This window comes from Homo sapiens, chromosome 3 (genome assembly GCF_000001405.40).
Source record: "Homo sapiens chromosome 3, GRCh38.p14 Primary Assembly".
NCBI lineage: Eukaryota > Metazoa > Chordata > Mammalia > Primates > Hominidae > Homo > Homo sapiens.
Window position 1 is genome coordinate 151,415,893 of NC_000003.12, and position 24,315 is coordinate 151,440,207.

The 24,315-nt window shown below is 39.7% G+C and overlaps 2 protein-coding genes across 36 annotated transcripts in view, besides 1 other annotated feature; one reads left to right on the forward strand and one right to left on the reverse strand.

Moving 5' to 3' along the window:
- MED12L (mediator complex subunit 12L) overlaps positions 1-20,761 on the forward strand; it is a 350,990-nt gene extending 330,229 nt beyond the window's left edge. For all 21 annotated transcript variants that reach the window (XM_017005676.2, NM_001393769.1, XM_017005678.2 and 18 more), the window contains 3 exons: positions 420-530; positions 14,407-14,488; positions 16,860-20,761. In XM_017005676.2, the coding sequence (XP_016861165.1) occupies positions 420-530; positions 14,407-14,488; positions 16,860-16,912 (246 nt within the window). In that variant the 3' untranslated portion in view covers positions 16,913-20,761. The remainder of the gene's footprint in view (positions 1-419; positions 531-14,406; positions 14,489-16,859) is intronic.
- Positions 13,009-13,303: a silencer, noted in NCBI's record as "tiled region #9761; K562 Repressive non-DNase unmatched - State 3:PromF". NCBI's record gives its function as "represses a minimal TATA promoter and a strong SV40 promoter by Sharpr-MPRA in K562 cells {active_cell/tissue: K562}" and the evidence as "EXISTENCE:reporter gene assay evidence [ECO:0000049][PMID:27701403]".
- Positions 16,540-24,315, reverse strand: part of IGSF10 (immunoglobulin superfamily member 10) — a 187,494-nt gene continuing 179,718 nt past the window's right edge. For 12 of the 15 annotated variants that reach the window (XM_011512709.3, NM_001385061.1, NM_001385060.1 and 9 more), the window contains one exon: positions 20,311-22,705. In XM_011512709.3, coding sequence (XP_011511011.1) covers positions 20,797-22,705 — 1,909 coding nt within the window. In that variant the 3' untranslated portion in view covers positions 20,311-20,796. Of the gene's footprint in view, positions 16,915-20,310; positions 22,706-24,315 lie in introns of those variants that run through there. The other 3 variants (XM_047448014.1, XM_047448012.1, XM_047448015.1) reach the window with 2 other exon arrangements.

The following is a 24,315-nucleotide window of genomic DNA, read 5'->3' on the forward strand; positions in this document are numbered from 1 at the left end:
TTTAAGAATTCTGCCAGATATCATAAAGAATGAGAGGATTACTACTGAGCAGTCCCCGTCCAACCTGTAGTGTAAGAAGGGATAAAACATGCGGAAGGACAAAGGACATGAAAGGAATTAAAACAGTAAGCAGAAGGGATGGCCCCGGACAGCGCAGTGTGGAATAGACAGCAGTACTGACTGCCAGTGGAAGAGATCCGTAGGGTTGGGGTGGTCCTAGAAGGCTTCATGGATGAGCAGGTTTAGGTCTTGCCCTCAAAAGGACGAATGAGGTTCAGCAAGGTAGAGATGCAGCAGGCAGGTATATATTGTTTTTACTACAACATAAAAATTAGATAAAAGGTATATGGGGGAAACAGATTCAGCAATGCTGTTTTCTTCTTCCTTTTAAGTGTATAACATTTTTACCCTCTTTCCAGATGCAGCAGCCCCAGCAGCCCCAGCCCCAGCAGCCTCCCCAGCCCCAGCAGTCCTCGCAGTCCCAGAGTCAGACCCTTGGTCTCCAAGCAATGCAGCCCCAGCAGCCCTTGGTAAGGCCTGTTGTTTTGGAATCAGACATGTGGGTTTCTTCTTTAAAAGCAGGTTGCATTGTTCATGTTCATAAGATTGTTAAGAATCGACAAAGCCTAAGTATACCCTAAAAATTTTTCCTAGAACTTTACTAGAGTTTTATTGTCATTGTAGTTGGTATATTTATTTTCATAGGAAGATACAAGTAAATATTTGGGATTCAGTAGGTTATACCATTATTCTTCAAAATTTTTCGGACTGTTCCACAGACAAAATTTTTTACATTGAGACGTGGTCTTTTTTTCCTAAACAATGATAAAACGATGATTTACTATGTATGTTTAAAAGAGTGTCTTACCATACTTTGATTTTTACTATAATCTCAAAAACCATGGGCGCACTTTCTAAAATATTATCTATTATCTTCAATAAGAAATTGTTTTTCATTCAGTTAGCACTTGCTGCAAGAGTTTTCATGTAACTCACAGTCGGATAGTTCACTTCTCTAGCTTCATAAATCAAATTTGGAAATGTCATATGCATAGCCATCAAAGTTTTCTAAACCTCAGTCATTTACAACAGCCATATTCCTGTTTCATTAATTACTTTTTTTTAAACTGTCATCTTATTATATTTGCTTAAATAAATGTAGTTTTCAAAGAAGCATTTTATCATTACCATCCATAATTATATCACTTGCCACATATTGGAAATATCTGTGAAAGTAAATACAAAAATAATTTAGAAGGGAATCTCCATTTAACTGAGTGATGTGAATTGCATGAATGAGCCCTACCTACGATGAGCTGGCTGACCGCTCATGTCTCACACTTTGAGAAACACTAGTGTAGACTGCCTTCAGCACAGGATTTTTAAACTAGCTGGTTTCACAACTTGTAGAAAAGGGGGAACAACGTGGTATAGAGATAGTACATGTGGAGGGATCAGAGTAGAGTTAGGTGGTTAAAGAACTGCGTCCAAATCAGATTGACCAGAACATGGTCAACTGGAATAGGGCATCCATAGTACATTTAACAAACTCTGCGTAAGCCAGTTTGTTCCGCTCCCCCAGCTCCCCCCCCGCCTTTTTTTTTTTTTTTTTTTGAGACGGAATCTCACTCGATCACTCAAGCTGGAGTGCAGTGCGATCTCAGCTCACTGCAACCTCCTCCTCCCAGGTTCAAGCAATTCTCCTGCCTCAGCCTCCCAAGTAGCTGGGATTACAGGCACCTGCCACCACACCCAGCTAAATTTTGTATTTCACCATGTTGGCCAGACTGTGGTCTTGACCTCATGACCTCAGGTGATCCACCCACTTTGGCCTCCCAAAATGCTGGGATTACAGGCGTGAGCCACTGTGCCCGGCCTATTCCCCATTTTTAAGTTAATTCTTTTTAATTATGGATCTAGTTTTTCCAGCTCTGATTTAAAAATATATATATGTTTGTGACATTTACTGCAATCTACTTCAGAAAACCTTCTTAAAGTAGAGGTAGTATGTAAAACTGCACTGCCTGCCTACCTATCCAATGTGTATTAGCAGGAACTGGCTGTTACTTAGCAAATGTTGTAGAAGAGATTCCTTTGGATGCACCACTGTTAGCTGAGTCTAGTGTCCCGTACAAGAACGAGATACACCTTTTGTTTTGAAATAATTTCAAATGACAGAAAATTTGCAAGAATAGTACAAAGAATTTCCATAAGCCCTTTACCCAGATTTACTAATTCTTAACATTTTGTCACATTTGCTTTATTATTCTCTCTTTCACTCCCCCCACCTACTGCCATTTAAACATACATGTGCCTCTTTACCCTTAAGTACTTTCACTTTTTTTTTTCCAAAACAAAGATATTCTTTTATAAAAACTGGGTATTATTAAAATTAGGAAATTGAACATTACTACAATGCTTTATAACCTATAACTCTTTTGCAGATAGACAAATTAATGCTCTTTATTGCATTGATTTTCTTTTTCCCCTGGTTCAGGATCATCACATTTTGCATTTGGCTTTCATGTCTTTTTACTCGCCTTCATCTAGACCAACTCCAAAGCTGCCTTTTTGTCTTCATGAAGTTGACATTTTTAAGGTCTATGGAATGTTTATTTTGTAGAATGCTACTCAATTTGATTTATCTGCCTAGATTAATCATGATTAGATTCAGATTATACATTTTTGGCAACATTAGAGGTGCCATTGTGTCCTTTTCAGTGTATGGCATTAGGATATACATTGTTGGTGATATTACTTTAATCCTTTTGTGTGTCTTGTGTCTGATAGATCTCCCCACTGTGAACTTATTATTTTCCCTTTGCAATTAATAATTTATGAGAATAGTTTGATAAATCTGTCATTACTCATCAAATCTTCACACACTACTGTTAGCATCTATTAAATTATTCTTGCCTAAATTCATTCTTACTATGGATGTGGAAAAATTATTTTTTTTTAATTTTTAATTCTTTTAATTATGGATACATAATATTTGTACATATTTATGTACAGATACGTGAGATTTCGATACAAGCTTTCAATGTGTAATGATCAAATAAGGGTAATTGGGGTACCCAAAATCGCTTCAAGCATTTCTAATTTCTTTGTGTTATTTCGTGTTGTTTGTGTTTCTTTGTATTCCACTTCTACTCTTTTAGTGATTTTGAGACATATAGTAAATTATTGTAAACCACTGTTGCCCTATTGTACTACCAAACACTAGTTCTTACTTTGTAATGGGTACAAAATGGTGATTTTTCTTACTCTTATGTTTCTGCATTTAGCAGTTGGTATTTGTATTAGTTAGGGTTCTCTAGAGGGACAGAACTAATGGAATAGATATGTATATATAAAGGGGAGTTTATTAAGTATTAACTCACATGACCACAAGGTCCCACAATAGGCTGTCTGCTGGCTGAGGAGCAAGGAGAGCCAGTCCAAGTTCCAAAACTGAAGAACTTGGGAGTCCGGTGTTTGAGGGCAGGAAGCATCCAACACGGGAGAAAGATGTAGGCTGGGAGGCTAGGCCAGTCTCTCCTGTTCATGTTTTTCTGCCTGCTTTATATTCGCTGGCAGCTGATTAGATGGTGCCCACCAGATTAAGGGTGCGTCTGCCTTCCCCATCGCACTGACTCAAATGTTAATCTCCTTTGGCAACACCCTCACAGACACACCGAGGATCAATACTTTGCATCTTTCAATCTAATCAAGTTGACACTCAGTATTAACCATCACAAGTCCACCCCTTGTCTACTTGAGCCCATACACACCTCCTGAGATCAGACATAATCTTCAAATAAAGACAATAGTAAGGTCGTAATTACAGCTAACATAATACAACTATCCTTCCTGCAACCGGAAACGCACCAATCCCCAACCCAAATACTATTACATAAAGTTAACAATGCTTAAATCCTGATATGAAGTCAGTAAATCCTATGTCACATGATAAAGGAAAAGGAAATAAAATTAAGATATTAGTACAAGTGTATACCTGCACAAACATGTTTTTAACAAAAGGAGGAAGTACTCATGACAGTTACAGTCCGCTTTTCTGCCACTGTCACGTGGTCATAGCTGGTATTGATGACTACCTTCTTCTGCTACCCATTCTGTATTCCCTTCACCTTCAGCACGCACCTCAGCAGGTCGTGTTTTTCTTCCTGGTTGAGTGACCCAAAGCATTCCTGAGGGGTCTGGATCATTTGTAGTCCTGTCTGGTTTGGGCTGTTGTAGTTTCCCATTGACCTTAATCACAGGGCATAGTAACACTAAGAGACGCCCTAATGGATCTCGTGTATTCCATGAATACTCTTCCTTACCTCTATTGTGGAATAGTAGACTGATTTCATCTTGATAGTCCGGGTCAGTCACCCCAGCCAACACTGTAACTCCCTTCTTAGCCTGTTGGCTTAAAGGTAGGAGGAGCCCAAAGTGTCCAGGTGGCAATCTTAATTTCCAGTTTAATAGAATCATTGTATTCCTAGTGGCAGTGTTCCTCCCTCTGGAACTAAGACCTCTAGGCCAGCAGAACGTAATGTTGTGGGAACAGGAAGCAAAAATTTTGCTAGTGGATCACTAGGAGTGATGGTGAGTGGTGCCACTTCCACTTCTACCCCTTGATTCCTGGACTTGTGAATCCTGGCTATGGGAGAAACAGTACTATATATTGGATACTGATTAAGAGCATACACGGCCTTCTGGAGAACTTTGCCGCAGCCCTGCAAAGTATTGTCACCTAATTGGCATTGTAATTGTAACTTCAAAAGGCCATTTCACCATTCTGTCAATCCAGCTGCTTCAGGATGATGGGGAACATGGTAAGACCAGTGAATTCCATGAGCATGAGCCCACCGCTGCACTTCTTTAGCTGTAAAGTCAGTGCCTTGGTCAGAGGCAGTGCTGTGTGGGATACCATGATGGTGGATAAGGCATTCTGTGAGTCCACGGATGGTAGTCTTGGCAGAGGCGTTGTGTTCAGGATAGGCAAACCCACATCCGGAGTAAGTGTCTTCCAGTGAGGACAAACCTCTGCCATTTCCATGGTGGAAGAAGTCCAATATAATCAACCTGCCACCATGTAGCTGGCTGATCACCCTGAGGAATGGTGGCATATCGTGGGCTCAGTGTTGGTCTCTGCTGTTGGCAAATTGGGCACTCAGTGGTGGCCGTAGCCAGGTCATCCTTTATGAGTGGAAGTCCACGTTGCTGAGCCTGTGCGTAACCTCCATCCCTGCCACCATGGCCACTTTGTTCATGGGCCCATTGAGGAATGACAGTGGTGGCTGGGGAAAGAGGCTGAGTGGTGTCCACAGAATGGGTGATCCTATCCACTTGATTATTAAAATCTTCCTCTGCTGAGGTCACCCATTGGCGAGCACTCACATGGAATACAAATATCTTCACAGTTTTCAACCACTCAGAGAGGTCCAGCCACATACCTCTTCCCCAAATTTCTTTGTCACTAGTTTTCCAATCATGCTTCTTCCTGTGCTTTACTGTGTTTTTTTTTTTTGTTTTGTTTCTTTGTGTTTGGAGACAGTGTTGCTCTCTCACCCAGGCTGGAGTGCAGTGGCGCAATCTTGGCTCACTGCAACCTGCACCTCCCGAGTTCCAGCAGTTCTTGTGCCTCAGCCTCCCAAGAAGCTGGGATTACAGGCACGCACCATCACACTAGGCTAATTTTTGTATTTTTAGTAGAGATGGGGTTTCACCATGTTGGCCAGGTGTCTCGAACTCCTGACCTCAAGTGATCCACCTGCCTGGACCTCCCAAAGTGCTGGGATTATAGGCATGAGCCACCATGCCTGGCAAGAAAATTTTTATATATCCTTTTATCTTTCGGTATTTTTCTTTTTCTTAATAGTTCCACTAAGATGCATTGTATGTATTATAAATATATTTATTTATATTTTATAAACATCTCCAGCAGATTCAGTTCTTGGTACTAGCCAAAGCTCTTCATTCTTTGTTTTTTTCTTTGCTAGAGAAGAGGGTGGTAAGGTAGCTGTTGAAGATAAGTGAACTCTTCCTGTTTTGGGGTTCTGATTCATGCTGTATCAAAGTGGTAATGGTAACACATTGCCCCCCATCCCCTGACTTGTCCTGCTGCTATCTGGTGACATTCACAGTTGAATTCAATAAATGCTTTTTTCTTAGGGTAGTGCAGAAGTGATTGCAGTCGTGTGTGTGGTGGAGACCAGCACCCTGCCAGATGTTATAGAGCGTGCCAGTGAAACATCACTTCCTGCCACTAGAGGACTTAGAATCATAGGAAGTGGCTCAATGGCAGCACTGCCTGTGGAAAGTAGTTTACGGTTGCTGAATTTTTGACAGAAGAGCTGGAGGCATTGTATTAGTTTGCTAGAACTCCCTAACAAAGTACGCAAACTAGATGTCTTCAACAACAGAAATGTACTGTCTGTTTTGGAGGCCAGAAATCCAAGATTAAGGTGTCAGCAGGGTTGTTGGTTCCCTCTGAGGGCTGTGAGAGAGAATCTGTTCCATGCCTCTCCTCCAGCTTCTGGTGGCTCGCTGGGACTCTTTGGCATCGCTCGGCCCGTGGAAGCAGCACCCTGAGCTTTGCCTCCACCTTCGCAGGCATTCTCCCTGTGCATATACGTGTCTACTTTTTTATAAGGATACCAGTCCTTATGCGTTTTCACTTTTTATAAGGACACCAGTCATATTGGTTTAGGTCCCATCCTAATTATCTAATTTCAACTTGATTACCACTGTAAAGACCCTGTTTCTAAATAAGGTCACATTCTGAGGTACTGGGTGTTACGACTCCAGCATGTCTTTTTTAGGGAACATAATTCAACCGAAATAATAACAGGTCAGAAGGTGAGAGAAGTTTGGGAAGCCTTGACAGAGGAGGCTGAATGTGGCAGATGTTGAAGGCAGTAGGATTTGATTCATTGCTTTTTTTTTTTTTTTTTGAAAAGAAGAAATTGAATGTTAATTTTTTTTAGAGTTAGAATTCAAGTTTTATTTAGAATTAATGAAAATATATTTTTTTGTTCTTTTGTTGCTGTTGTAAGAGGAACAGAACTAGGTTTTTTTTTTTTAGCTTTTGCACAAGTCCCTTCTATTTTAATGCATTCTAGGAGATCATAAAAATATATATATATATATATTTTGAAACGGAGTCTTGCTCTGTCACCCAGGCTGGAGTCCAATGGTATGATCTCAGCTCACTGCAACCTCCACCTCCCTGGTTCAAGCGATTCTCCTGCCTCAGCATCCCGAGTAGCTGGGATTACAGGTGCCTGCCACCATGCCCAGCTATTTTTTTTTTTTATACTTTAAGTTCTGGGGTACATGTGCAGAATGGATTCATTGCTTTTTGACTATTTTGTTCATCTCTTTGCTCGTTGACGTCATCAGCTGGGATGTGTGGGACAATGATCATCCCTTGGTTTTGGCTGTAAAAAATCACTTTAAAAACTTATAAAAAGTTAACAACTTGTAAAAAGTGACTCAGGGCAGAAATTAGTGCTTCTTTAAAACGTGTCACCAGAAAACAGAGTTTTTCTGTGAAAAGAGCAAGAAAGACTAAGAAAAGCCTATGTTTACAAATTAAATCTGGTCTGGACTTAATATCAATGCCTGTGTTGCCATCTACTTACTTCAGTTGCTTGTATTCTGTGAAGGAAAAACATCTGGAAATAAAGACATGGGTACCCTTGCTGGGAAAATATATTTGGCATGTCTGATTTTGGCCTAAATTATAGTTCTTGACTAGAAAAATATTTTTAATGCTTATTAAATCATTAAATAATTTTAATGCTTCTTGTTGTGATTAAGTTAATTCTTAACTAAATATGTTGACAGACCATGATCTATTCTTTAAAACTACTTCCAGTGTTAAGAAAATAATGTTAACACCATCCCGCTGCATCATTTCCTTTCATCTTAAACTCAGGTTGTCTTAGTTTGGTGACTTAAAAAAATATGCTAACAGAAAGCTTTAAATAGTTGGCTTTTTACATCGACTGATCCTTGTGTCCGTTTCATATTATATTGAATATTTGCCTTTTAAAAATATGCATAATGGTAGCAGTAGTTACTTAATTACATTAAATTTTAGTCAGTGATCACTTGTGAAATTGTCCTTGACTCTTCCTCAAGAAATTCATTTGTTCCATTCAGAGAAATTGAGATATTTTTTCAGTCTGCCTCTGGAATTGGGAAGTAGCAGGCACAGATAATATGATTCTCCTTTTGAAGTGGAAGAAATTAGGTCCAGAGAACATTGAGCTACGTTGCCTTCCTTTGCATGAATTTGGAAATTTTTTTTTTCTTTTGGAAGGAAAAGAAGAAGTAATATTTATAGAAAGAGGTTGGGGAAGAAATATCAGGAGATTTCTGGTAACTGGATAGCCAATATATTTGATATAGTACTTTTTTCTTACTAAACTGTGTACAGATTAGATGACTCTGCCGGATGCAATGGCTCACGCCTGTAATCCCAGCACTTTGGGAGGCTGAGGCGGGTGGATCACGAGGTCAGGAGATTGAGACCATCCTGGCTAACACGGTGAAACCTGTCTGTATTAAAAATACAAAAAATTAGCTGGGTGTGGTGGTGGGCGCTGGTAGTCCCAGCTACCCGGGAGGCTGAGGCAGGAGAATGGCGTGAACCCCCGGGAGGCGGAGCTTGCAGTGAGCCGAGATTGCGCCACTGCACTGTAGCCTGGACGACTGAGCAAAACTCTGTCTCAAAAAAAACAAAACAAAACAAAACAAAAAAACTCTATGCAAGTTACTAGTTACCTTGAAAATAAACACACAAAAAATTCTGAAACACATCAGCTGCTAGCTCTGTCTGAGAGTGTGGACTGAGAGTGTGCCGCCCTGTGAGAGTGGAGATGTGGCTGAGTGCATGCACAACCCTATACGTTGTTGTTCCTTCCGCTGCCGCTTGTAGGGACGGACGACCATGCTTCATTCGTCGGAGCAATCTGTGGACTCTGTCAGTTGGTAGTGCAGTTTTAAAATAAATGTTGCTTTGCTGCTTTGTTCTTTTGGTAACAAATGAAGTGGTCACAGCAAAAACCTCTTAACTGTCATGAGGGAAGGGATGTATTTTACTCTGGTGCCCTTGGAACCCAGAAGATTGCCTGGATTTTGATAAATATTTGTTGAATGACTCATTTGTTGGATGTCAAAGCAATGAAAAAAACCTTTGTTAAAATCACACATTATCCATAAGAAAGGGAAAACACAATTCAGGAGGCAAGGTGTCCAGACCATCTGAGCATCGGTAGGTCCATTACTGAATCAGTCCTGCAGCTGATTTTGTCAGCATATGCTTTCGCTGACGGGGCAAGCTCAAGTTTTGAGACAAAAAATATTTAAATGATGTTTATTTAAATAGAAATTACTAATTAGCAGCACATTTTTGCCTATGCTGTGATTGAGCAGAAGAAGTAAATGTTATTGAATAAAATAGGAATTTAGAGATCAGTCAAAATACATCAAAATACATTATCAGAATTTTAATTTTAATTTATTTTAGAGACAGAGGCTCAATCTTGTCAGCCAGGCTGGGGTGCAGCAATGTGATCATGGCTCACTGCAGTCTCAGACTCTTAGGCTCAAGTGATCTTTCCACCTCAGCCTTCCAAGTAGCTGGGAACTACAGTAAATACATTTTTGTTTTTGTTTGTGTGTGTGTGTGTGTGTCTGTGTTTAATTCAGCAAACAATGGTATTTCCTGGAGAAGTGGTTATACCATGTTGATTAGTTATACCTGACAGTAGTAAGCTGGGTATTCGGTCTTGTGGTTACAGCAGGAGCATGGCATGGCTTCTGCCTCTGAGAAGTAAAAATCCAGAATCCTAGAGAGAGAAGCAATTATCATGTTAAACCATATGTTTGCTAATAGAGGCATTTACACAGTACTAAGGATACAAAAGCAGTGATTCACTCTTTAAATGCGTGAGGGAATGGATGATAACTTCAGCTGATCTTTGAAGGATGAGTAGATTTATGGGAAGGGTAGAGTGGAACGAAGTGGGGAGGAAGTGTATTCCAGGAGAAGGGATGAACATCTGCAAAGGCACAGAGGGGAGAGATCATCTTCTGTATGGATATGGGCCAAAAAATCTTTCCCACTTCATTTATCACATTTGAATAGGGAAGGCAAAACATACATAGATTATGATTTGGGGGACCTCTAGTAAACCTTACTGAACCTATTTATTGACCTGTTTTGGTAAATTAAAAATTCAACTCCCACCACAGTGATGATTCCAAAATCTCACCAGGCACCTGAATGAACCACTTGGGGGAGCCATTTTAAAAATTCAGATTTCTAGCACATTAGCTACAGAAATTCTAATTCAGGAAGTCTAGAGAGGAGTCCCGGGAGGATAATCCTTTAAATTTCCCCCAGTGATTTTGTGCTGCCTCAGCCACATACAGGGTTCAGTTCTTCACAGGAGGGGTTCAGTTTGAATTGAAATGCTCAGTAGTGAGGCTTCTGTAGGGTGTTGGAGGCAGCCCTCATCCCCTAGTGGTAGGTGCTCCAGAGCCCAGAGAAATTGCATCTGGGGCCTATTGCCTGTGCATGTACAGGTGAAAGCAAGTTAAAATTAGTAGCCAGAGGCCTTGAGAGGAAGCAGATGTGGTAAAACACTGTAAGAAGATTGTAGATATAGATCATGTACTTCTGGTCAGTTTAAGGAAGTTGGTCAAATTTCTTGGCCTCAGAATCTTTTCATGTTCACAGATTATTGCAGACCCAAAGAGCTTTTGTGTATCAATATTTACCATGTTAGAAATCAAATATTCGTTAATACTAAATATTGTTATGTTTAGTACCTAAAGATAAACTTATGTTCCTGGAAGTAACATGCTTTTATGAAAAATAGGCATATATTTCAAAATAAAGTTATATGAGAATGACATGGTTTTACTTTTTTTTTTTTTTTGAGACAGGGTCTTACTTTGTTACCCTGACTGGAATGCAGTGGTACGATCACGGCTCACTGCAGCCTTGACCTCATGGGCTCAAGTGATCCTCCCACATCAGCCTCCTAAATAGCTGAACTACAGGCATGCACCACCATGCCTGGCTAATTTTAGTAATTTTTTGTAGAGATGGCGATTTGCCATGTTGCCCAGGCTGGTCTTGAACTCCCAGGCTCAAGCTGTCTGCTCGCCTTGGCCTCTCAGGAGTGCTGGGATTACAGGTGTGACTCACTGTGCCTGGCCTGGTTTACATTTTTGAAAATTTCTTCAGTGTCTGGTTTAATAGAGAACATTTGATTTGTTGTAATAGCACATGTTATGTAGGCTCTGGAAAGCTGTAATGTACGTGCATGAGAAAATAAGTGAAAAAAGCAGATAATGTCTTAGTATTTATTTTGAAAATGGTTTTGACCTTGCAGATAACCTGACAGAGTCTTGGGGACCTCTCCCAGGAATCCCTGGATCACAATTTGAGGCCCTCTGACTATGTACTACCTCTTAAGCCACCCTCACACCACCCTGAACTCCCCAACACACACACGCATACATGTGTACACAAGCTTCCTAGGGTATACCTAGTTACTGCTTAGGCTCTGCAAAATATAGTATCTGAGGCAACCACTACAGTGTTTTATTCTGTGAAATACTCTATTTGAAGCAGGCTTTAAATGAACATAAAGAAGGCAGCTATGTGTTTGTTGAGTGAATAAATGTTGACTATTTGTACACCATGTACCCCAATATGCTGTTCAATCAGCTTAGACATCTTTATAGCCAGCCTTTTAGAATCTGTAATTATTTCTGAATAAGTTGATATTTGGAAGCTGGTATTTTCAATCATGGATAGGCTTGAGGGGAATGTAGTGGTTGGTCAAAGGGTCCAAAGTTTCATTTAGACAGGAGGAATAAGTTTTGTTGATCTATTGCATAGCAAGGTAACTATAGTTAATAATGTATATTCCAGAATTGCTAAAGTAGATTTTAAATGTGTTCACCACAGTGAAATAAGTCTGCAAGATGATAGATGTCATAGATATGGGACATTTTCTGGGGGCAGCAGTCTTAACCAGTCAGAAGTGAACAGCAAAATTTGACATGAACTCATTGGTGGCAAAAGCTGACCTGAATAGACATGAGGCTCTTTTCATTTATCCTACCTGATATAATTATTCATGTGCTTGCTACAGAAATGTAATATGCTTGATTATGGAGTGCTGTCCTACATTTTGCCTGGTCTGCATATTAGGAGTGTTTCTTAGTAAACTGCATATGTTCAGATTCCAAAGCACATATCTGTCTTAGGACTTTGGATAAGAGATTGAGGACAGTTACAGCTAAGTCAGGATTAAATATGCTAATAGACACATAGAATGTCTGGAACAGTACCTGGCACATAGTACAATAGTTTCCCCAAGTAAGCATAAAAACTATTGAATAGAAAAGAATACTAACATTTCCATATAAATGAAAGATTGATTTTTATTTTTCACTCTTGATTTGGGCAATGGAAAAAAATGGCAAGCTGCTGCTTCTCTAATTTGTATTGGGGAAAATAGTAACATTGGTGGAGGGAATAGTTCATTAGTTTTGTGGATCTTTCTTGTTATTAGGAAAGTTGTGGGAATTGAAGGCTCTTAGAATTAGTCATTCCATCAGTTGCTACTGAGCACCTGCTGTGTGCCTGGCAGTACCGGATATTACAGATACATCAGTAGGTATGCCAAGCCCTTGTCTTTCAGTCACTCACTGTCTAGTGGGAGAGAGAAAGTTGAACCAGCTGTCATGCCAAATATTCAGTTTTGAAAGTATCAGCTTGGTAATGCCCTCTAAATAGAGGATAAGACAGGATTGCCACATAAAATACACGGCTCCCAGTTAAATTTGAGTTTCAGGTAAACAATGAATAACACTTTAGTGTATATCCCAAATACTGCATGGGATATACTTGTACTAAATGCAATATTTGTCATGTGCAATATTTGGGACATGCTTGGAACTAAAACATTATTGTTTATTTGAAAATCACATTTAACTGGACGTGCTGCGTTTTTATTTGCTAAATCTAGCAACTGTACTTACAATCCTGGGCTATTCTTGACAAGCTCTGAGGAGGAAATAGATGTTGCACTGGCGTTGGGTAATTGAAGAGTCTTTTTCAAAAGACAAATTACAAAGGTATGGAAAACCAGCTGGAGGTGATGGCCCACTCACTGACTGCCCCTAATCCCAGCGGGACAAGAAGGGGAGAGAGGTAGGGAGGCTACCTGACAGGAGCTGCAACCTTCCCGGTGTGGGGCGTGGCCAGCCAGCAGAGACTCATGGAGGAAAATTGGCAAAAACAAAACTTCACTCTGCTCCCTCCCAGCCTCACTGTGCTCCTATGCTCCAGTCTCCTGGGAGCACCTCCTCCCCACCTAGAAGTCGGAGGGCAGAGGAGCCAGCCTTGTTGATGCCCTCCACACAGGCAGCCTGGTGAGCACACGGAGAGTGGGCACATGGGAAACAGCCAGCACCGTGCTGGTGTATGTGCCTGTGTCAGAACGCCTCGTTTATGACAGTGACAGACCAGGAGGAGAGAAGAGGGTTGGAGGAGGAGAGAAGGGGAAGAAAGAAAAGGAGAAAACGATAGTCTGAAATTTGAAGATCAAGATAAAAAAGTAAATTGGCACTACCAGTGATTCTAACCAAAAGTAATTTTGCTTCTGGTAGATGCTGCTTTTTTTCCTCTTTGGAATAACCACAATTTCTTGCATCAACTTAATAGATAGAATCAGGGCATGTGGTCCCCTATATTGTGCCTCTCATCTGATTCTTCCTACAGAGCCTGTATTTGCATGGCCCTGGGAATTAGCACTTTCTTAAAGTTAGTGCCTCACTCACTCATCCTGCCCAGGCCCGGGCTCTGAGGGTGGGATTAGCGAACCTTCATCCTCCATCATATGGGGAGGGTATAGTCCCAAATGAGCCCTAGTCCTAGGGCACCACCCTGCCTCACCAGATTATTTTCTCCCATTTGTGCAAGGCACAACCTGTAGTCCTTGAACAAATCTTCCAACCAGAGAGCTTTCATTTTGCCAGTATTAATATCATGATACTCATGAGCTAGCTGGTGAAGGGTGAGATGACCAGGATCTTTGAGCTGCTGAGCTACGTCTGTAGTGTGGAGTTCTTCATTGGGGCTCTTCAAATAAATGCCAACTAATAACCTGGAGCTTGGGTTCCTGAATAGATGGGGTACTTCAGATGTTCACCAGATGCACAACAAGGTGTAGATGAAAATTAATCCACACACAGTTGTCATAGCCCTTTTTTCGTGAAGTGTTGAGAAGTACCTTACAGACTGGCCCTGCGAGTTAGTCTCTGTTCTTGTCTGTGATTGGCACCATGGAATGATTTCTGTCCTTTCTCCTGTCGCCATTACAGTTTCCCAGGCAAGGCTTGCAGCAGACCCAGCAGCAGCAGCAGACGGCCGCCTTGGTGCGGCAGCTCCAGAAGCAGCTTTCCAGTAAGTACCCCTGTGTGTCATGGAACAGACAGCTCCCGGAAAATTAAAAATAAGCCAGCGAAACGTAAAGTGGCGGCTCTCCCAAGATGGTACCATCTTCCTCAGTACAATGTTCATGTTATTTGGTTTAGCCCAAGGTATTTTCATTCTGTCTTCGTTTGGTTTTGGCTTGAATGCTTCCTTTCCTGGGAAAGCCCCAATTTTTCTCAAATTCAGTGAAGATACTTTCTTTTTGCTTCCACCAGAATCTAGAAATATTTCTTCTCATTGGGGGGACTCCTATGGAATCAAAGGTGTCCTTTGTTTAAAGCTGGAGAGTTCAGGGAGCATCAGCTAATGCCCTTAATTATACAGATGAATAAAGTTAGCTGGCCTCCCGAAGATCTTCAGATACAGGGAGGCCAGCACTAAACTGTCAGACTGTGAATGTTCTTACCACTGCACCATCCTACCCTTCTGATAGTGACTCATAAATCAAAACCTATAACATCATACACAGCATGATCGAGACAGTGTTTTCTCCCTAGTAATCTTGCCTGTAGTGCTGGTGTGGTGTTTTTGTTTTGTTTTGTTTTGTTTAATGTGCTGCCTTTCTAGAGAATTTACCAATAGCCCATTTCATCATACCTCATCTCAATGCCAGCAGTGTGCTCCCATGAATTGAATCACCCCTGGGCGGGTGTCATAGGACGGAAAATCCTTTTAGAAATGGGAGCAAGCTCCCTGTGATGCAAAGAATATTAGCCTGGAAGTCAGAAGACGTAAATTTTGGTGTCAGCTTGGCTGCCATTATCTGGATTGTGTAGTTTTTCCATCCGTGCAATGAGTGAGACTAGCAGTTTCTTCTTGGTCTTGGATTATGTACTTGTGAGGTACCAGAGGGAAGACTAGTTTGTGGTGAAGGCAGTGGTGCAGGTCTGGTAGCCTGCTGAGACATAAGGAAACAGGTCATGTAATTACTGAGGGGCAGCTTGGTTTTAGTCTTAATTTTCTGCCTGGCTGCTGTGTGAGTTGATTTTCTGACAGAGGGATATCCCTCTTACACCTTAGTGTCTGTCTCTACCAGTGGATACCCAAAATTTTTTTTCTTCTTTAAAAATATTTTCCTCTTATGGCCTCATTTAATGTCAGTTAAATCAAGTAAATCTTCATTTCTAGCTACTGTTTACTGTTTAATAGATCTGGTCTATTAAAACACATTTGTAATTAAAATCTCATTATGTTTCACTAATTCCAGAATCCTTATTCTTATAGAAAATACAATCTTAAGGCAGATTTTTTCTTCTAGTGTTTAGAAATAGGTAACTATGATTTTTATAAAGTGGCATCTGTTTGGGGAAAGATATCTACTCTTAGTTCCTGTCTACCAGAGCTCAGCTTTTTGTTAAAGCCATCATTTATGGAGGACTCTCTAGGACCCAGGCACTAGGACTTTCCATGTATTGATTTACTTTATTTTTAACCCACCCTGTGAGATTATGTATTATTACTGTTCCCACATTACAGATGAGGAAGCAACTGAAGAACGGGAACATTGACTAATTTGCCCAAGGTTTTTCAGCTAATAGAGCTGAGGCTTGAGCTCAGAAGCATTCCTTCCAGAGCCCACCTCCTAACCACAGTATATACTCAGCTGCCTGATAAGCAGTTATGCCACACTCCATTGTTGAAGGGTGGTGACTAAACTGAGCTGCTCACCACACAACTCCAGAGGGCTCCTTTGATAGCATGGCCCATGTGAATGGGGCCTCCGGATTTGAATACTCCAGAGTTAAACAAGCAGTAGCTGTTTCTAAGCCCATGTCATTTTTTGGTATCTACTGACCATTCCTTGTTTCTGTATGCATGTGCAGGCATGCATGTCTACATAGGCACACGCTTGAGTCATCACACACGGACAGTCTTGCACCTGCATATACTCTTGCACAGTTCTGTTGTACATACCTTATGGCTATTTGCAGAAAATTGCCCAGTTCCAATCTAATTTTTTCTTACCAATTATGTGTTAAAGTAGAATTGCTGACTTTCATAAGCATTTTGAGAACTTTCAATGTTTTATGAAACTTTTACTGTATTCCTTTTGAAAGTTAATACCAAGTAGTTTAGTTCAGAGGGAGACACTCTGGATGGGCCAGTAACCTAAATCCTGCGGCCTTGCATTGGCAAGTGTGGACTGTGAATAAAGGTGTCCCCTCTGCAGGGTGGTACTTGAATCCCACCACAAGGGTTTTTCAGGGCAAGGATAGTACTCTCCGGCCATTCTGTTTCCCTGTACCTGCAGCTGGTACTGAGAGCAGTGACAAGAGGGTAGCATCCATCTGTGCAATAGTTTTGTGTCTGTAATTTTGGTTCAATTTATTTTTCTCCTTAGGCAACCAGCCACAGCAAGGAGTGACTCCGTATGGGCATCCTTCACACTTCTGAATCTGCAAGAGGAGAAGACATGACGTTTTATGTTTGCACTGAAAAACAGAAAATCAAATTTAATGCATTAGTCATCTTAAAAATGTCCCTTTTTTTCATTTCTTTGACATTTTACTATATTTTATGCTACATCTCACAAAAAAAAAAAAAGGTGTTTAAACAAAAAGCCAAGGAGAAGTTGTGGTTTGATTTTGTTGAATTCACCTTTAAAGTAGGTTTACAAATGTGAATCATGCAGGCAGGCCTACTCCCGGAAGAGTGTGCTAGCAGACCTTTTGAAATTGGTGCTTTTTTTGAATCTCACATTTCTAGAAAGAATGGATTATGATGGATCTAAGGTATTTATGTATTTCATTCATTAATGATGACGTTGTTTTTTTTTTTTTAATTTTATTTTCCAAACTGTGCTGGACCAAACTACTGATTTGAAAGGCATGTCAGATCTTGACAGAAACATGGCCTGTTTATTCTGCATTCACCTGTGATGGTGAAACGGACATTTATTTGCATCGCTCTAATTTGAAATGTTTGTAATCTCATAAGCACTTTATAAACTTTGTTCTTATTTATGTAGGACTCTTCTTTGCTTTTGTTGTGGTCAAAAGGTGCTGAAACAGATTGTTGCTTCGTACTTAAACTTCTTAAACCAAGAACCTAAACCAAGGTTTCTTTGAGAGCCGCCCTAAGATGTGCGGAAACCTGTTAGAAGTAGCTGTACTCAAATTTGTTTTGAGGCAAGATCATTGATGAGAGTCATTGTGAAGGTACAACATGTAAATCCTAAAGGCCTGAAAGAACTGCAGTGGAATCGTCCAACTATTTATTGCCAGTTTTGGTTCTCCTGAACCTTATGCCACCTTAAGGGGAAAAAAAAATCCAGTAGCTGGCTTGAGATTCCAGTGCTCACACTTGACATGGTTTCCAGAGAATCTGGCCCCAAAGTCCAGAAGGCTCTGGTTTTCATAAAAGGTGTATTTGCTGTTTATTTTGTATGGTAAGTATTTGCTCTTTTGAATTTAATTATTACTGTCAGTGTCAGTCTTGGTTGTGTATTGCATATACTGTATTTATAAATTGGTGCAAAAAGCACAAGTAAATTATACATCAAATTTATTATAAAGAAATAGTAACTATTTTAACTTTGTTCAAGTATGTGGTAATTTGCTCCTATTAGAGTAAAAAAGAAACCAGTAAATTATCAGTTTGTGTAACTTAAGAGTATTCTATATAATATTTTTTTAGATTTAGATGCATAAAATTTTGAATGTGAAAATTGCAGGGCATTTTAAAACATATGTGGGGGATATTTTCCCATGTTCTCTGTTATTTCATTTTCTTTTGCCATATGATTTTACATATAATATAGTCAAGCATACTGTGAATAGACTTGTCTATAATGAGCAGACCATGTAAATCTACTTTTTTTAAAATGTAGCTAGTACAACTTTAGTAGACATTTTCTTTTGCAAATCATTATCTATAAATAATTTATATCTTCCTGGGTGAGTTACTCATTGCAAAGTTTGACTCATGCAAATGACCTCAAATACATGTCAGCTTACTTTGCTGTGGCAACATCCATGTGAACTGCTTTGTACACTGTGAAAATATTTCACTCCAGCCTGCCCATTTTGTGTTTACTCTGGGCTGGAAAAGACTTTGCCAAAACATTAAAAACTATTCTTTTCACTAAATTAATAGTCTATCTGCTTTCAGAAGATGTATCATCTATCTGTACACATTTTTGCTGGTTTTGTATATCAGATTTTTTCCTCTCAAGAAACATACTTAGATAAGCTAATGAAGTTGTTTTCTTCAAAGTAATATATCTATATAATGACTGCATTGGCAAATCAACCGAAATGTGAATGTTGTGCCTAGTGAGTGAGTCATGTTCCATCATTATTTCTTTCCAAATTTCTTTGCCAGTTCAGTTTGAACCATATATTTTGTAGCTCAGCATTGCAAACAACAGTAATACTGTTTTAAGAATGAGTGTTATAATTGCATAGCATTTGTATGCACTTTATACTTTGCAGAGGTGAGTTAAATTATTAATCATTTTGCACATGAAAGCTGTGGGGCATATCTTTTTTCTTTTTTTAGGTGAGGAAGTTATGCTACGACTCTAATTAATTCCACGATTCTATTGAAAGTTGAGGAATGCTGTTTTACCCCTGCGCATTATAAAGAAAATAACTAGAATTACTTTAGTCTTCAGATTTTCTCCCTGTTAATTCTGTATCTTGAGAGGTTTCTTTTTTTTTTTTTTTTTTTTCTTTTCTTGCAAATGCATTCTTTTGCATTAAGATGGTCACAAGGTAAAGCCCTGTGGCAGAACCTGGTACTTTACCTTACCAGAGGAAATTACCTTAGAATAAGATGGAGCGAGACCCCAGCTCCCCTTAAAGACAAGACCTTGAAATCAAATGGAGTCAGCTATACCTATCAATCAATCACAGTTCTTGGATATAAGAAGCCCATAGACTCTCTTGTTTACACTGTAGGCTTTTTCTTAATAGGGTTGCATTTGTCAGTCATTGCATTTACCCTTCTTGGCCTGGAAGTAGAGGAGATCAATGCGTAGCTTTGACCACTTCCAGCCACAGGGTACTAACATCAGACATAAGTTGCAACCAGGTCACATTTTAGGCTGAGATGGGGCTAACTGAAAGTCAGTGTGATGAAAACCCAAGGGCGCTATTCCACATGTCTCAAATGATTGGCAGGGGCTAACTTATTAGTAATTCTCGGTTTTGTGCACTGAGATATCTAAGACCTATGGCATTTTTTTCCCATTTATAAAGCTCCTATAATTCTTAAGTAAGTACTAGGTGAATGTTTGAATAGATGCTGGAGAAATTACACTGGAAAACCCCACCCCTAGATTTAGATAAGATCAATCATTTAATATTCCCCAAATTAATTCAGGTTGAATTAAGCATGTAATATAAATTCAGTGAATTACAAAAACACATTTTGTGTAGGATTGATCAGATTTTAAATACAGTGAAACTTCATTATATATAATAGACCTAGACCCTCCCAAGCATTTTCCCATCCCATAAAGAATTAATGAAATGAAATGCTTATAGAGCAACGATTCCTGCTCAGAAAAATTTCCTTATAAACAGCTCCAAACCAGGGGTGCCTGAGCTAGATTTTAAAGTTATAAAGAAGTTTCATTGTATTTTTAAAACCTTTTTAATGGGTGTATTTGGACAAAAATAACCCCCTTTTCACATTTTATGATGTGCAGGTATTACATTGCTTTTTACATGTGGAAAAGTGAGCCTGCATTTATTTTTAAATGCAGTTATTAAAACATTTTTGTATTCCCCATCAATGAAAATTTTCAGTGTGAACAAATGGTGAATCATAAGACAGTTCAGTGCTTATTTTCTGTAGGTTTTAGCAAAAAAATTTATAAACCACAAAATATTTATACATCAGGATGGTAAATTTACATCATAAAGATTGCAGATTTAATATTTTCCATTGTCTCTGTTCTGAGTGCCATGCTTGTAACATTGATAGGAGGTGGACACTAGGCAACTGGTATTAGAAGTTCATTTTTTTACTGAAAAATTCAGGTACATTAGCCATTTGTTATTTTATAGTGAACCGTTTCAATGTTTGTTTATTGTTATTTGTTGGCAAAATAAAAGTGCCTTAAGTTAAAAGTTTGTTTTGAGATCCATTAAATAAATCAGTATCATCAGTTCATAATGCATTTATTTACAAGTCCTTTTATTTTGCATGTTCATTGTAAATTTAATACTGTAAATGTATTCAAATTCATTTACATGCCTATGGCTGCCTTTGATTAAACTTCTTCCAAAAAATAAATTCTGCCCAGATGTTGTTGACTTTATTATTTCATGTCAGATTACTTGAATATACGTTGCTGCATAATCACTACCAAGTGGGTTCTTTGCTGTGCATTTGTATATCCCAGAATCGGAGGTTTGGGGATTCTGAATGACTAGGGTACCTTGTAAGTGAAGCTGCTCACTTCCATGTGTCCTCTCTTTACTTGCCGTTGAGAGAAGGGAGTGGTCAGGCATCTCCCATGTGATTTCTGGCTTGGGAACTCCCAAGGCCACACAGTGGAGCTGAAAGGCTGCCCCTGTCCTGGTGACAATACTCCTGGGTGGACGATTTGTAATTCGGGGAGGGTAGGCTACAATCATTACTGGAACAGTAATCAGTGTATGACCAACACTATTTTGAGCCTTACAGATATAGTTTCCTCTGTCATAAGCTGTTGCTTCTTTAATGACTAAGGTGCCATTGTCATGCAATATGTATTTCCCATTAATTTGAGGCCTGTCTACTACATAACCACTTGGCATAGTCCATTTGATATTTGGCTTAGGGATTCCATCAGACACACAATGCAGTGATAGAGATTCTCCACTGATGCCTTTTACTGTCCCTGGTGCATAGGTAAGAATAACTGGCTTCTGGCCAATTTCTAATATGACTAATTTCTCAATATAGCCAACTTTATTCCTAGCTGCACAGCGATATTTTCCTGCATCCTCCCGAGTTGTTTTAGAAATGATAAAAGAACCATTGCTTGCTATCAGATACTGATAACTTTGTGGTCCATTGGAAAATCGTGTGCCATTTGGTAAAATCCAGATTATTTCAGGTGGTGGGTTACCATCAACAGAGCAATTCAATGCTGTGGACTTTCCCAGCTGGGCAACTATTTTTTCATTAAATGGATTTCTAAATGTCGGTCTTCTCAGCATTTCCAGTACTTCTAACTGTACTACCAACACGCTCTCTCCACCTTCATTTCGGGCCACACAGATAAAGTCGGCTGAATCTGAAAGCCTCACATTCCTAATTTCCAAGGTTCCATTTTTATGGACTGTGATTCTGCTTCCATAGTATGGGGCTGTGAGGAAAATATTGTCTGGCATGATCCACATGACTTCAGGAGATGGTGTCCCTTCAGCTCTGCAGTCAAAGTGTTTTTTGGAATGTCTCACAGCTGTGGCTTTAATAACAGTTCTGTTTGTATACAGACCATTGATTAATGGAGGTTTAGAGACCACATCCAGTTTGTACATTTTGGTGTCATCCCCACTGGGATTTCGGGCTACACATACGTACTCTCCAGAATCGAGCAGTTTCACTTTGTTGATGGTCAAAGACCCATTGGCATGAAATGTGTACCTATCAATGGAGAAGGAAATCATGTCATTGGAAGGCAGCAACCAAAATATTTTTGGTTTGGGATCCCCAGTGACCTCACAGTCAAGGACAGCTGTGTCTCCAGCTTTGATTCTCTTGTTGGTTTTGTTACTCTGCCTTATCCGGGGAGCAGCTGTTATAACTGTTAAGTGGACCTTCATTTCATCTTTCCCTAGGGTGTTCTGGGCATAGCAAGTATAATCTCCTTCCTCCGCTACCCCAACTTTGTTGAAGTATAAAGTTCCATTGTTGAAAAGGGTATATCTCCTAGTCCTGTGGCCACTGTCATCGGCTTGCATTGCATTGTTGATCATGGTTCCATCAGGCAAACTCCAAGATATCTCTGGCACTGGGGAGCCGGAAGCTTTGCAATCTACTTGGAAATCTTTCCCATGGAGCACTTGCTTTCTAAAATACTGCTTGTGGTCAATTTTGGCAGGTTTCAGTCTTAGGCTAACATGCATCAGTATCAGATCATCCCCCATTTTGTTTCTTGCCACACACAAGTAGACACCACTGTCTTTTTCTGTTACTGATCCAATAAACAGGGATCCATTAGGGTAGACGTGGATCCAGCTGCCCACTCTAAGGAGAAAAGAGATTCATTTGAGTGTGCAGCTGTTAGCAATGAGGGAAACTGTTTTACTCAGGATTGCCTCCCTCTGCCCCAGCTTTATTGAAGCATGACCAATGAAAATTGTGTATCTTTGAGGTGTAGAACATGACATTTTGAGAGAGATATATATACATTTTGAGGTGTGTGTGTATATATATACACATATTTGAGATATATATATATATACATTTTGAGATATATATATATACACATACATTTTGAGGTATATATATATATAGAGAGAGAGAAATGACCACGATTAACTAGCATGTCCATCACCTCATAGTTACCTGTTTTTGTATGTGTGATTAGCTTTAAATTGTTGCAATAAAAAAATAAAATTACTACCAGCTTATTGTCTTCTAAGCCATTTGCTGAAAGATGAAATTATCTAATTGAACAGGTATAATTTAGTGCAAGTAAGTATTTCTCAGATGGAATTCAAATGAATCTCCGTTACATAGTAATTTTTTAAAAAAAATCTTAATGAAGAGGCACATGCTAGAAATATGGGAGTTCTAGACACCATGACTTCCTTGACCATTTCACATACCAAGTAAACTAATTGGATCCACAAACATGGTGATTTTGTAATATATATAGGTAAACTCAGTTGCTCAGAAAAGATGCCAGATGATACTTTCTAAACAGTTATTAGTAACAAAACAATTACTGAATCATTTGGTTAGAAAATTCTACTTTGGCTGGGCACAGTGGCTCACACCTGTAATCCCAGCATTTTGGGAGGCCAATGTGGGCAGATCACTTGAGGGCAGGAGTTTGAGACTAGCCTGGCCAACATGGCAAAACCCCATCTCTACTAAAAATACGAAAAATTAGCTGAGCATGATGGCACATGCCTGTGATCCCAGCTACTCGGGAGGCTAAGGCTTGAGAATCGCTTGAACCCAGGAGGCTGGGGTTGCAGTGAGCCGAGATCACACCACTACACTCTAGTCTGGGTGACAAAAATGAAACTGTTTTAGAAAAAAATAAATTTTACTTTGTTAGAATACCAACGCAAGGTTCCTTAGAAGGTTGTTGCAGCATCTGCCCTCTATGGGCAGCTGTACAGTGACTAGTTTTTGCACTAGATTGAGCTGTGTGGAATACCATTTTTCTCCAGATGTACAGTGGCTGCACAGCCTATCATTACCAAATTTAACCACCAGATGGCAGATCTTTCCTGGTAAAACTAAATCTACTTTTTTAGACCAGTGGAGACTCAACTGGTGCTAAAAGTGCTATCAGGGATACCTATATGAGAAAACGTCTTTCTTATTTTTGGGCAACATGGGCTAAGCAGGTAGATAAAACGAGAGGAAAGTAAAAACTGTTTTCATAGCATAAGTGCTAACCAAGTCAAACAGCCTCAAGTCATTTCTCTCTCTCCTATTTTCTATTTACTTTATATTTTTTTGAGACAGGGTGTCACTCTGGAGCCCAGGCTAGAGTGCAGTGGTGAGATCACGGCTCACTGCAGTCTCAACCTCCCAGGTTCAAGCAATCCACCAACCTCAACCTCTGAGTAGCTGGGACTACAGACACACACCACTATGCCCTCCTAATTTTTTTATTT